General features: G+C 41.1%; 1 protein-coding gene across 6 annotated transcripts in view; it reads right to left on the bottom strand.

Annotated features, from left to right (window-relative positions):
* The window catches only part of OSTF1 (osteoclast stimulating factor 1), a 58,752-nt gene that overhangs the window by 21,841 nt on the left and 21,764 nt on the right, over positions 1 to 15,147 (bottom strand). For 5 of the 6 annotated variants that reach the window (XM_006717053.4, XM_011518525.4, XM_011518524.3 and 2 more), the window contains exon 2: positions 7,875 to 7,921. The exons of the other annotated variant lie outside the window; for it this stretch is intronic. In XM_006717053.4, the coding sequence (XP_006717116.1) occupies positions 7,875 to 7,921 (47 nt within the window). The remainder of the gene's footprint in view (positions 1 to 7,874; positions 7,922 to 15,147) is intronic. 6 annotated transcript variants of the gene reach the window in all.

The raw sequence follows: 15,147 nt of genomic DNA, 5'->3' as shown, positions 1-15,147 counted from the left end.
CTCTCAAACCTGCCTCAAAAATGTTCTGATGATCGATCAATGACCACTATTACTACCAATATGTGATAGATATAGAAAGTGATTAGGTAAACAAACTATTTCCTTTAGTATTTATTTGAAACAAACTGGATCACTCCCAGAGAGGCCAGAAAGATGATTCTCTCCGCACGCCAGCATCCCAGCTGGACTCAGCAGCCACCTCTGCCCCAACCTCCCGCCCACATTAAGGTTGGCCTTTGCTGGCAATTTTAACACCATCTGACTCTCTCACCTTTAGATGGTGCTAAGGCCTGGGAGGGGAGAATGAAGGAAGAAGAAGAGTGTCAGGAAAATAGGATATGTGGGCTGCAACATTTTTCTGGAGGAACTTTTCATTTCCTGGAACTTGAAAGAGTTCAATGCCTTGAAGAAGTCTGTCCCATCTATGAGCCGTCCTGGGCTGTTCTTACTGAGTACATCTCCCAAAGTTAATCTCACTCAGTTATGTCTCACAATAAATCCTCCTCAATCAGTACTTTCAAGAAGTGAAGAAGTCATCTTTCTCTACAGTTTGACCCTCCTTCTAAAATCACAAAAGTCAAATCTCCCTAAATTTCCATATTTAATAAAATCACTCACCCTTTAAACAAACAAAACACTTTATGAAAAAGTACCAAACAAATAGCTTTTAAAAACAAAGAACACACACAAGCATGGTAATGAGTCTTTCTTATAAAAATAAGCAATAAAGTCAGGGGGAATAGGGAGTAACTGTTTAATGGGTACAGGGTTGATCTGTGGGATGATGAAAATGTTTTAGAACTAGACAGAGGTAATGAATTGTGAATGTACTAAACACCACCAAATGATTCACTTTAAAATGGTTAATTTGGAAATAAGCCAGGCACAGAAAAACAAACATCGCATGTTCTCACTTATTTGTGAGATCTAAAAATCAAAACAATTGAATTCATGGACAGAGAGCAGACGTATGGCTACCAGAGGCTGGGAAGGGTAATGGGCAAACCTGGGGGGAGACGGGGATGGTTAATGGGTACAAAAAAAATTTAGAAAGAAATAATAAGACCTATTATTTGATAGCACAACAGGATAGCTAATAGTCAATAATAATGGTACATTTTTAAATAACTAAGAGTATAATTGGATTGTTTGTAACACAAACGATAAACGCTTGAGGGGTTGGATACTTAATATCCCATGATGTGATTCCACATTGCATGCCTGTATCCAAACATCTCATGTGCCCCATGAATATATACACCTACTATGTACTCACAGGAATTAAAAATTTTTTAAATGGTTCATTTTATGTTATGTGAATTTTACCTCAATTTTTTAAAAAAAGTAATAAAGCCCAAAATAGTCAAAACTCTTAATGTCTTTCAAGTAATTCTCGTCCTCTGTGGTTTGGGAAAGTGCATCATTTGAGAAAGACCACTAAGTGCCAGTCGCTTCGACACCTCTCAGTGCTATTTCGGTTTTTGAATTAATGGCTGCCGTTCAATAGTGGTGTCTGCCACAAGCCACCCATTAGGTCAGACTTGTTTTTCAACTGAGGCAATGAGAACAGGCAGTCCATTTCAGTCAGGCAAAAAGTGACCTCATTTTTTCATCCCGAGAAATTACAGTCGACAGTTTATTCTCTTTTAATCCATAGCTCCCAGACACGGAATGCTACTACTCGTAAAATGTCTTCTTCTAAAGAAACTAGGGACACGTTTTCCTAATCTAGCTAAGTACCAAATTCTTCACAGTGTTGGTGGCAGTACATACAACACGGTAATTTCATTATTTTAACAACAGATTTCACCTGCAATATTCACATTTTCCATTAAGAAACCACTAGCAGGATACCTGATCTAAATTGTTCAATGAGCACCTACTTTTAAATTCCCAGCATCACAGTTAGGGAACAGAAATGGGAAAACAATAACATAATGAAGTATGCACTTCTCTGTTTCCAGCTTTTCTTTGTTTTTTGTTTTTTGTTTTTTTGTTTTTTTGAGACGGAGTCTCACTGTCGCCCAGGTTGGAGTGCAGTGGCACGATCTCGGCTCTCTGCAGGCTCCGCCCCCCAAGGGTTCACGCCATTCTCCTGCCTCAGCCTCCGGAGTAGCTGGGACTACAGGTGCCTGCCACCTCGCCCGGCTGATTTTTTTGTATTTTTAGTAGAGACGGGGTTTCACCGTGTTAGCCAGGATGGTCTCGATCTCCTGACCTCGTGATCCACCCGCCTCGGCCTCCCAGAGTGCTGGGATTACAGGCGTGAGCCACTGCGCCCGGCCTTTCTTTGTTTTTTAACTACATTCCTCCTTTCCTCTCTCCTTGAAGAACAGCAAGGTATCAGAATAAGTAGGCTGTTGTCCACTGGGATGTTACAGCAAAGAGTACACACTTGGTAACATATATTCCCATTCCATATATTCTTGGTAACATATAATTCCCAAGGCATTAATTTTGTTGGTTTATGCAAATATATTTTATGAAAAGTTTAGAAAAACTGATATACTTTTGAAATTTTTAAGATTTGTCAGTCTGAAGCCCCCAAAATTAATAAAAAGAGAAAACAAATTCTCCACAGATGTTTTTATTCAACACTTTATAGTATATATTATGTGCCACGTACTGGTCTGGGCATTCAGAAATATTAACTAATTTGTTCCTCACCAAGAACACTATGAAGTGGGTGCTATTCTTATCATCATGTTACAGATGAGAAACCTCTCCAAGGCCATAGAGCAGGTACATGGTAGAACCTGGACTTGAACTATAAGTCAGATTACGAAGTCCCTGCTCTTACCCACCACCTGTGCTTTCTCTCATACAAAAGGCATCACACACAGCCATTATTGGCCATCATGGTGTCATGACCAGATTAACAGCTGGCCACCTTGGAAAATATCTGTCTGTATACACTCCCAACTGCCCTACCCCTATAGTACAGTATAACAAAACCAATGGCAGCATATTTTACTTGCAAAGTATACTTGACCTCATTTGGTCCTCACAACTCACTAGGCTTGGATGGGTCATGGATATAATCTCTATTTCACAACCAGGCTTAGAGAAGTTAAAAACTCTCTACAAATCAGAGTGAGTGGCAGGGCTGGGCTCCTATCTCAGCTCTTAGATTCCCAGTCTCCTTCCTCTACACGTGGCTCTATTAACCTAGTGCAGCCCAGCAACCTTTACATGACAGAGCAGGGTCCTGCTGGTTTCCCTTTGGAAATCAATGCTCCTCTTAACACAGGAAATTCTGTTCCCTCCTCATCAGTCTGTCTTGACACTCGTCAATTCAGTCCAGCCAGGTCCGTGGTTGACACTTTATTAAAAGGAGCTGGGTGAGAAAAAAGAACCAAATGGGGCTGGGTGGTGCCAAGACACCCTTGCCTTTAAGCAAGACAAATGAGAAATGGGTTGGCAGGAAGAACCAGGAGCTACCTAGCGTTCTTCCTGTTCAATGGATCCCCAAGACTGGGGTTGCGCATTGCTGTCCCCATCTCCTGAGGGGGAACAGGAGCTTAAAACTGGACCCAGGCCTGCCTGGGGAGCTGCACATGCCAGCAATGTCCCTCAGAGCCCACCTCAGCCTTTCAATATTGCCTGGTCCCAGTGATTTCGAGGAGGCCAGGTCAGCTTAGGATATGCTGTGGTGTATCTATCCCTCCAGAGAAGATGGCTGCTGGTCAGAGGGGAGAGAGAGAGACCAAACAGCTTCCAACAGAAATTCTCATTCAGAAAAAGAAGATAAGACTAACCTAGTTCTGGAATGAGATTCAAAATTTAACAATGGGTATGGCATGGCACTTAACCAGTCAGGAAGGTCTGTGGGAGCTAGAGGCTACCTGCTGTACCAGATGCTACCCCCTTCATACCTGAATTGAACGGAGCTGAACAGGGGAGAAATATAGAGGCAACAGGGCTTGAAGTGGTCATTACTGACTGTAGCCTATAATCCTTGGGACTAAAAATATTAAAAATACAACATTTTAAATATAGAATATTTTTTAAAGCCTAAAGAATTAAATGTATATTCTCCTGTATATTCAATAATAACTAAGATTTTTTTAAAAGCAGTGGAGAAACTCCATCTTAGAGTAGAATTGGAAGTAAATAAATCAATACACAACCCATCAAAAATATCTGTTAAATGTCTATTAATATAGCAACCACTATTCCTTCGATAGTAACAATTACTCCTTAATAGTAAAAGCAGCTTTAGGCAATTAATCTCATTTAATTCTCACTAAAACCTGGTGGGACTATTATTATCCTCACTTTACAGATGAGAACACTGTGACAGAGAGGTTCAGTAATTTCCTCAAGGTCACACAGCTGCTCAAGAAGTGGAGCTGGTCCTGAACCCTAGTGCGGGCTCTGAACCCAGTGCTACCCTGCTTCCTCAGACGCTGTGTCTATGAGCAGGACTGAAATACCACGTGTGGAAGTTCAGAGGCAGGAGAGGCAGTCCACCTCCAGCTGGAGTGGTCAGAAAAGTCTTTACAGAAGAGGAAGTATTTAATGTCAGCTTGGAAGGGACAGGGCCATGGGTCTAGAAAGGGTTGAGAGATAGGTTCTACTGTGAGTCACATCTAGATGGGATAGTTCAAGAACAGGAAGGAGCAGAGCACAGCGGGGCTGGAATAGGGGCTGGACTATATAGGATGACATCTTTAGTCAAATAAAAGGTTGAAGCAGTTGGTGGAAGCAAAGCCACCTTTGAGGAATGCCAATCTAGCTCAGACGACAGATGGAATGGAGGAGCTAAGTCTGTAGGCAGTGAGGAAAGGCATAACCAGGTCATGAGGAAGCAAAGGGGAAGGAAGAGGTCGGTGAGAAAGGACAAAGGCGAAGACAACGAAGCATACGAAGAGAGGAGATAGAGTCAAGAGTCACCTCCAGTCTCAAAACAAAGTAAATGCAAGTCCCATTCTAGATTCGAGGAGGCAGCAGAGAATGGTCTATTCATTGAGTGGCCCAGGCTGGCACCTAACCACCCCTCACCTCCCTCACTTTTATCCCTCTCAGGGTCATGCAACCAATCAGGACACAACTGATAAGGACAAGCAGAGGCATAAAATGACAGCGCTCCCCGTGAGCAGGGCTTAAAGACAACAGCCCTGGGCCTCACACTTCCCTGTTATGGGCTCTTTGTGCCCTCTCCCTACCTCAAATTCTTACGTTAGAGTCCAAACCCCCAGTACAGATGCCCCTGACATACGATGATCCAACTTAACAATTTGTCAACTTTACGATGGGCTTATGGGGGTATTAAATGCATTTTTGACTTATGGATTTTTTTGTCTTACAATGAGTTTATTGGGTTCATCATAAGTTGAAGAGCATCTGTACTTCCATATATGACTGTATTTGGAGATAAGGACTTTAGAGTTAACTAAGTTAAAATGAGGTCTTTAGGGTGAGCCCTAATCCAATGACTCATATCTTTTTTTTTTTTTATTAAGACGGAGTCTCACTCTGTCGCCAGGCTGGAGTGCAGTGGCGCAATCTCAGCTCACTGCAATCTCTGCCACCTGGGTTCAAGTGATTCTCCTGCCTCGGTCTCCCGAGTAGCTGGGGTTACAGGTGCACACCACCACACCCAGCTAATTTTCGTATTTTTAGTAGAGATGGGTTTCACCATGTTGGCCAGGATGGCCTCGATCTTCTGACCTCGTGATCCACCCGCCTCAGCCTCCCAAAGTGCTGGGATTACAGGCGTGAGCCACCGTGCCCAGCGACTCACATCTTTATAAGAAGAGGAAATGAAAACACAGACATTCAGAGGAAAGACCATAAGAAGACATGGAGAGAAGTCTGACATCTACAAGCCAAGAAGCAAGGCCTCAGAAGAAACCAATCCTGCCGACACCTTGATCTCAGTCTTCTAGCTCCTGGAATTGTGAGAAAATAAACTTCTTTTGGTTAAATCACCCAGTCTGTAGAACTTTGTTATAGCAGGCTCAGTAAACTAACTCTACCCATTCCCAATCCCTCACCAACACAGGAGAGTTGTCAGTGGAATCTCTTGGTGAGAAGAATAAAAACCCTACCTTTCTTGCTCCAGAAACATTTCATGGACAAAGTCTTGGGAGAACTGTCTGAATATGCACACCCCCATGTTAGTCTATTAGTGGCTACTATTTTTTGGTGCTCACCATGTGGTAGGCCTTCAATATTCACCCCACTCCATGCTCACAGCATGGTTCCACTGCAGAATGGTATCCCCACTTTCACATGAGGAATCAATGGCAGTGAGGTAAGAAAATTCACGCAGTAAGTAAAAGACAGATTTGGGATTTGAAGGCAGGCCCTGGCCTGATGGCAGTGAACTGATGCTCAGTGTCACTTGTTCTGTGTGACCTTCTGAGTTGCCTCTAACTTTGGGGACAGCAGGGTCTGGGGCAAACCCAGGTGAAGCGGGCAGCAAGCTGACTGCCCACAGAGAGAAAGCTCTGGTCCCTAGCATATATGAGAGAAAAGTCAATGATAGCAGGTTTCCCCTTGATATGGTTTTGCTGTGTCCCCACCCAAATCTCACCTTGAATTGTAGGTCCCATAATCCCCATGTGTTGTGGGAGGCACCTGGTGGGAGATAATTGAATCATGGGAGCAATTTCCCCCATATTGTTCTCGTGGTAGTGAATAAGTCTCACAAGATGTGTTGATTTTATAAGGGGTTTCCCCTTTCACTTGGTTCTCATTCTCTCTTGTCTGCTGCCATGTAAGACATGCCTTTCGCCTTCCGCCATGACTGTGAGTCCGATAATCCTCTTTTTCTCTATACATTACCCAGTCTCAGGTATGTCTTTATCAGCAGAGTGAAAACAGACTCATACACCCCTTCTCCCCAAGAAATCTTCTTGGTTTCTTTCCTTTCCTTCCTAACTGTCTCGACTCCCTGCTTCACCGTCTAGTCACTCCTGTATCAAAACCATCTACTCACCTCCAATCTTACCCAGAGCAAAATCCAAATGAGATCCACAGGCCCTAAATGCTCTGCCCTTCCAGTCCACCCCAACTCTCGGAAGTAGTCTCCCACTACCCTCTCCCATGTTTGCAACTTTCCAAGCCATGCTGTCTTCCCTGCTTTTTCTATTCTAGCATCCACCAAAGATGCTGCTTGCACTTGTTGCTCCCTCACTTCCTTCAGGTCTCTCCCCAGATGCCACCTTTATAGAAAGGCCATCTCTGAACATGCTATTGAAGACAGCACTCTTTTCTCCATTAACTTCTTTGCTCCTAACCCTCCTTATTTTTCTCCAGAGTACTTAGCCCCTGACAGTCACATTCATTTGTCTGTTACTCTCTGTCTCTCTCCACTGGATGCAAGCTCTACGAGACCATCCTTTCTGTTGTCCCTGCACTAGTCACAAGGCCTGGACCAGTGTCTGGCATATAATAGGCGCTTAATAAACCACAGATAAATGGACGGATACCGGAAACTACAACAATGGAAAATGCACACTGCAGAGGAATAAAAAATTGTTCTGGAAGGTTAGCAGTAGGTATCATTATGAGCTATTTTGAGGTAGAGGGTCAAGAGGAGAATGAAGGAAGGTTAGTATGAAATTCAGAAGAAAGATGACTAAGACAGGGTCGCTGTGCTTTATATGCAAGTCACTTGTCAATTTGAAAGCAGGTGGTGTCACCATGTAGGGAGAAGCTTTACAAGACAGACATGACCTCAAGATGCAGAAGACATGCAAATCAGCCTGGGACTTAACTTGCACAGCTCTGGACCCAACATCCATTCCTGAGAATTACCTAGGTCTATCAAAGAAAAGGCAGACCATTCACACCAGAGGAAATGTCTAAATAAAATCATCTTAGGTTTTTCTGTCAATTTTAGAAGTTAAAAACTGAACACTTACAGTTCTGGGTTCAAACGTATACAGGGCTCTGAAGACTTTAACTTGCCCTAAAAAAGGAAGAAAAAACAACAACTGAATTTTTCATTCCTGAATTTGCTCTTAATAGCATTATCCATTATATCCTTCAGAATTCCCTAATTAAAAACCCATGTGATCAAGTAGAACAGAGGATACTAGAGGCTGGAAAGGGTAGAGAGAAAGGAAGGACAGGGAGAGATTTCCTAAAGGATACAAAATCACACCTAGATAGGACGAATAAGTTCCAGTGTTCTATACCACCATAAGATGGCCATAGCTAACAATTATTATATAGTTCAAACAGCTAGCAGGAAGATATTAAATTTCCCAATACAAAGAAATGATAAATGTTTAAGATGATGAAATGCTAATTATCCTGATCTGATCACTATACATTATATGTATTAAAACATCACTATGTAGCCCATGAATATGTACAATTATCTGTCAATCATAAAATAAATTTTAAAAACATATCATTATATATCAATGTGACTACATAGAAAAATATATAAGTAGCAGCAGCAACTACTGTCATTATAAAAACACTGACTGAAATATCTCTATCCAAGAAAAAAAAAGCCTGTGGGAGAATGGTATTTCAGAATTGAGTGCCTTTTCCACATAGGAGATATTTTTTAATATTTCTTAAGTGAATGTAAGAACAGACACACACCTCTGAAAAATGACTTTGCTTCCTTCTAACAGCAAGGAGCTACATAATTATTTGTGCTTAGGTTCTGTCCTATACAGAGTCCTTCCAACCCTGAGATCTAAGTTTAAAAATATAAACATGACCATCTTAACATAAACAAATCCTTAATGTGATAATCTACACTGGTTTAATATTCTTAAATCAGTGGGTTGGAATTCTATATATTCCAAAAGAAAAGAAAATACCACGGAGGAAAAAAAAAAAAAAAAAAAGGACCCATTGGAGAAACCTATGATTCCATTAAGTCCCAAAACAGAAAAGAGGCAACAAGGTCACATGCCTGAGTTGTCCTCCTTCCTGCCAAACAATACTTCCTCCTTTCTCTCTTCGTAGACTGCATTTCCATGACACTCCGGACTATAATCACTGATTTGCTACCTGTCTCATTTGAGGGCAGGAACTCTAACTTGGTCAATTTCCCAGCACCTAACTGGTACATAGTAGAACTTAATAAATGTTTGCTAAATGAGTATAATCATCCCTCAGTATCCAAGGGCACCGGTTCTAGAACCACGATGGATACCAAAATCCATGGATGTTCAAGACCTTTATATAAAATGGCATAGTATTTGCACATATATACATCCTCCCATATACTTGAAATCATCTTTAGATTACTTATTATACTTAATGCAATGTACATACTATGTAAATAGTTATATTGTAATTTTTATTTGTATTATTGTATTATTATAATAATAATTATTATTATTTGAAACAGATTCTCACTCTTTCGCCCAGGCTGGAGTGCAGTGGCACAATCTCAGCTCACTGGAACCTCCACCTCCCAGGTTCAAGAGATTCTCCTGCCTCAGCCTCCAGAGTGACTGGGACTACGGGCACCTGCCACCATACCCAGCTAATTTTTATATTTTTAGTAGAGATGGGGTTTCGCCATGTTGGCCAGGCTGGTCTCCAACTCCTGACTTCAAGCGATCTGCCTGCCTGAGACTCCCAAAGTGCTGGGATTACAGGCATGAGCCACCATGCCTGAACAATATTGTTATTTTTTAGTATTTTTCCTGAATATATTTGATTCACAGTTGGTTGAATCTGTAGATGTGGAACCAGTGGATACAGAAGGCCAGCTGTAAATAAGTAAATTAACAAACCCAAACAGTATAGGAAAAAAGCCTATAGATAGCAAAAAAAAACAAAAAACAAAAAAAAAACAAAAAAAGGGGGGGTCCTCTTTTAATAAAATAAATAGATTTAGAACAGATATCAAAATAGAGGGACTATCTATTTGATAGCTATTTAAAAGCTTTGGGAGGCCAAGACAAGTGGATCACTTGAGGTCAGGTGTTCGAGACCAGTCTGGCCAACATGGTGAAACCCCATCTCTATTAAAGATAAAAATTTGCCGGGCATGATGGCGTGCACCTGTAGTCCTTGCTACTCAGGAGGCTGAGGCAGGAGAATAGCCTGAACCCAGGAGTTGGAGGTTGCAGTGAGCTGAGATCACGCCACTACACTCCAGCCTGGGCAACAGAGCAAGACTCTGCCTCAAAATAATATAATAATAATAAATAAAAGCTCAGTTGCAGCACTAGAAGAATGTTATCTTCTAGTTCTAGAAGATGGTTATCTAGGACAAGAAAATAATGCAGAACAGTGGCCTCCAAGGTGGGATACGGGAAGACTACTTCAGAAATTATTTACATTTTTATCTTTCTTATTCTTTTCTATTCCTATTTGAACATGTTTTATGATATAACACCATAGAATAATATACATACAACTTATAAATCCACATGCGTTTATATAGACTGAATACTCAAAAACCTTTTGTGGATCAATTGTAAGCATTAAGAAGACAAGTATTTTTGTTGTTTTATGAATGAGACACCCGAGTGCCTACCACAGTGCCTGGCACATACAAGGCACTCAATAATTAATTATTTATGGAATGAATGAAGCATGAAGAAAGGAATAGATGGAAGCATGAATTTTAAAAAGTCTGAGGCCAGGCATGGTGGCTCATGCCTGTAATCCCAGCACTTTGGGAGGCCAAGGCAGGTGGACTGCTTGAGGCCAGGAGTTCGAGCCCAGCCTGGCCAACATGGCAAAACCCCATCTCTACTAAAAATACAAAAATTAGCCAGGCTTGGTGGCACACACCTGTAGTCCCAGCTACTCAAGAGGTGGGTGTCATGAGAATTGCCTGAACCCAGGAGGTGGAGGTTGCAGTGAGCTGAGATTGCACCACTGCACTCCAGCCTGGGTGACAGAGAGAGACCCTGTCTCAAAAAAAAAAAAAAAATTAATATTAAATAAAAATTTAAAAGTCTGAAACCAGTAGTTTACAACAGTACTGTCTGACATAACTTCACACAATAATAGAAAAGTTCTGTATCTGTGCTAGTCACATGTAGCTTCTGGGCACGAGAAGAATGGTTCATGTGACTGATAAATTGATTTTTAATATTATTTTAGTTAATTTCCCTCATGTTGCAGGTTTAGAACATCAGAAAATGGATTGACTTAATGTCCATTAAAAGGGGATTATGTAAATACACTCTGATTTGTCCACAAGACACAGTCATCTTAAACAGAATGCTGCACATTATTCACAATAGCCAACATAGGAGATCAACCTAAGTGTCCATCAACGGCAGAATGAATTTTTAAAATGTGATACATACACACACACACACACACACAATAGAATACTATTCAGTCTTAAAACAGAAAGAAATCCTGTCATTTGTGACAACATTAATGAACCTGAAGAACATTATGTTTTGTGAATTAGCCAGGCATGGAGAGACAAAAACTGCATGATTTCACTCACATAGGTGGGATCTAAAAATGTTGAACTCATAGAAACAGACAGTAATATAGTGGTTGCCAGAGGCTGGCGGGTAGGGAGACTTGGGGGGATGCTGGTTAAAGAACACAAATTTCTGTTAGACAGCAGGAACAAGTTCAAGAGATCTATTGTACATCACGGTGACTACAGTTAATAACAATGTATTATGTACTTGAAAATGCTGAGAGTAGATTTGAAGTGTTCTCACCACAAAAATATAATGTAAGGTAACACATGTTAATTAGCTTGATTTAGTCATTCCACAATGTATGCTATCAAAACATCATGTTGTACACCATAATGTATACAATTTTTACTTGTCCATTAACAAAAAGGGTTGCCCAGCCTGGACAACATAGCAAAACCCCATCTCTACAAGAAATACAAAAATTAGCCAGGCATGATGACATGCACTTGTAGTACCAGTTACTGGGGAGGCTGAGGTGGGAGGATGGCTTGAACCCAGAAGGCGGAGGTTGCAGTGAGCCAAGATTGCACCACTGCACTCCAGCTTGGGCGAGAGAGCAAGACTCTGTATCAAAAAAAAAAGAGACAGAAAAAAAAAAAAGAATATTGCAGACAGAACCACAGACACTGACATAGAATATAATCTACACACAAAAAAGCAGGTTTATAACAGTAGGCAAGTACCATCCTGTTTATGTCAACAAAACACACACAGCCATTGAATGAGAGCACCAATTGCGGGGGCATCATATTCTACTTGACATTTACTGTTTACATTCATTACGCCAAGTGTGTATTACCTTTATAATCAACGAAAACAGTAACAGTGTGATTTGGGATTGGGAGGAGGAATCATTCTTCTAAACATCTTAATATAGAAGAGCAGCTCAGATCCCTGTTACCAGAAAACACTCTTTTCACCATCAGAATTCCAGGGCCACATCTCTCCTGCTCTACTAGGAGGGGCTTAATAGGCACACACAAAAGTAGAAATTTTTTGGGTCTGGAGTTTGTTTTTCACTCATATAGACTGAAGAAAGGAAACACCAAGCGGAAGGAGGAGCTGCCAGGAGAAATACAGTATTTTCTGCTGACTAGATTGTCTCTCTGAGAGCAGAGATTAGTTATCTTGATTACTTCGAACTTTCCAAAGAGAAGTTATACAAGGAAGCAGTCCACTTGTGACCAAAATCAATAACGATAGAACTTTCTTGTTCCTTTGAGGGAAGGCAGCGATGAGATGTGTTATGGCTAATTTTGGAAACAAGATCCCATGCGAACTAAATGGGTTTAGGTGAAATTCAACAAAAATTACAGAACCTGAAAACAAATATGTGGATGTGACTAAACCACTGATTTTTGTAATTGTATCTTTCATGATCATATTACTTAAAATGTTCACAACTGAAAGTGGGAGATTTATTTGCATTTTGATTTATACTAAACAGTGAACAGCAGGCAACTCCTTAGGCTATTATGCAAATGAATATTCTATCTGTTGTAGAAAACACTTTTACATACACAACCTTATTTATTGCTTAATGTTGGGACATTAGCCTCTTGTCCCTTTTCATCCATACATTATAAAAGTTCTGGGATTAATTTATTCCATCCTCAAAATTGAGTCAAATGGAAATGAAAGAAGGCAATAGAAATAGCCTCAGAATATGAAAGAAATGCATAAAGAAGAAACACAGATGACTTTTATGATTACTGTTTAACAACCCTGGATACTGTTCTTGTCGAGAAAACAATAATAATAATACTGAATTAATTGATCATTTTACATCATATTTATTTCAATTTTGAGCAATGTTCTATAGGTCTATACATTTACAGAGTATCAAGGGGAAGAAATTAGAGTACTCTGTGTTTCATATTATCTTCCCTGCAAACATCCTTAAAAAAAAAAAAAAAGCAGTAGGCTGAGTGCGGTGGCTCATGCCTGTAATCCCAGCCAGGCTGAGGTGGGCAGATCACAAGGTCAGGAGTTCCAGACCAGCCTGGCTAACTTGGTGAAACCCCACCTCTACTAAAGATACAAAAAATTAGCTGGGCGTGGTGGCACACACCTGTAATCCCAGCTACTCAGGAGGCTGAGGCAGGAGAATCGCTTAAACCCAGGAGGCGGAGGTGGTAGTGAGCCGAGATCACACCATTGTACTCCAACCTGGGGAACAGGGAGAAACTCCGCCTCAAAAAAAAAAAAAAAAAAAAAAAAAAAAAAGCAGTAAACATCTTAATAGATCACCAAGAGGAAGTACTGATCAATTCCAAGTTTACTTGTTCTTGTGTATGCAAGGAGGCTAAGTTAGATGCTTTCCTCGGGCTCCCTCAAGCTTGATCATTGTCTCATCAAAGTCTAGTGACATATAACAAAGAGGAAAAATGGAGCTCAGAAGACTATATAAATAACCTGAAATTACCCTGGAATTCAACTGAGTTAAGGTTAAAACGAGGCCCAATCTTTTGTCTGAGGCTTTAGGTGAACCTTGCATGAACCTGCACGTATTAGCACTAAGGATCTAAGCAGGGCTGGTCTCTTCACGTAAGCAAGATCAGCACAGCAGCAGCAGCGGTGCACCTGCTGGCTCACTTCACTGGCTCCTCACCTTGCCAGTCCCACCCTTCTCTGTTCTGTCCAACCCCACCCAGTCCCTGAAGAGAAGGGTGAGTCCATTAGTCATCAGCCAAACACTGTATTTTCCTCTGGAGTTGGGATGACCCTAGACTTCCATAAATGAATCCCTGTTCATAGTGGTAGAGGCAGGGCAAAGGCAGAGAGAAGGGTTCTGCAACAGGATATTCTACAGGCAAAGGGTAACTAGGTGAAATTTCTGCTCTAAGTTATGCAAACAGAGTATGTGTCAGCTCATTTTTGAGGCCCTGAAACAGCACTTAGGCGGGCCTGGGGCTTACAAATTTGAGCAAAGAATTTCTAATCTATTTTATTTCCTGTTGGTGAAAAACTGGAGAAGCCTCTAAAGAAAGCCACTCAGATATCATTAAAAAGGGATTGGGGCCGGGCACGGTGGCTCACACCTGTAATCCCAGCACTTTGGGAGGCCAAAGTGGAGGACTGCTTGAGCCCAAGAGTTCAAGACCAGCATGGGCAACACAATGAGACCCCAGCTCTACAAAAAAAATTTAAAAATTAGCCAGGTGTGGTTGCGGTTGGTACACACCCATAGTCCCAGCTATTCAGGAGGCTGAAGTGGGAGGACTACTTGAACCCAGGAGGTCAAGGCTGCAGTGAGCCATGACTGCACCACTGCACTCCAGCCTGGATGACAGAGTGAAATCTTGTCTCAAAAAAAAAAAAAGAAAGAAACTGCTCACTATAAGAGACAGATACACAGATATACGATAAACAGCAAGAGGAATGACTATTTAAAATATCAGCCCCTGGCCATCTGTAATAGATAGACTATTTCACTTATGTCTTTTTAAGAATGTTAAGAAGTGTGAGACACTTAGATGGGCTTCACTTACAATGGCTATGATAACTACTACATACTCACTCTGATGGCTAAAGTGAAAAATACTGACAATGGGATAAATCAACTGTGGTGTATTCAGACAATGGGATATTATTCAGCACTAAAGAGAAATGAGCTATCAAGCCATGAAAAGACATGGAGGAAACTAAAATGCGTATTACTAAGTGAAAAGTCAACATGAAAAGGCTATGTACTACATGATTCCAACTATATGACATTCTGGAAAAGGCAAAACTATGGAAACAGTAAAAAGATCAGTGG

This window comes from Homo sapiens, chromosome 9 (genome assembly GCF_000001405.40).
Source record: "Homo sapiens chromosome 9, GRCh38.p14 Primary Assembly".
In the NCBI taxonomy this organism is placed as follows: domain Eukaryota; kingdom Metazoa; phylum Chordata; class Mammalia; order Primates; family Hominidae; genus Homo; species Homo sapiens.
This window is presented reverse-complemented; position numbering and strand designations above follow the sequence as displayed.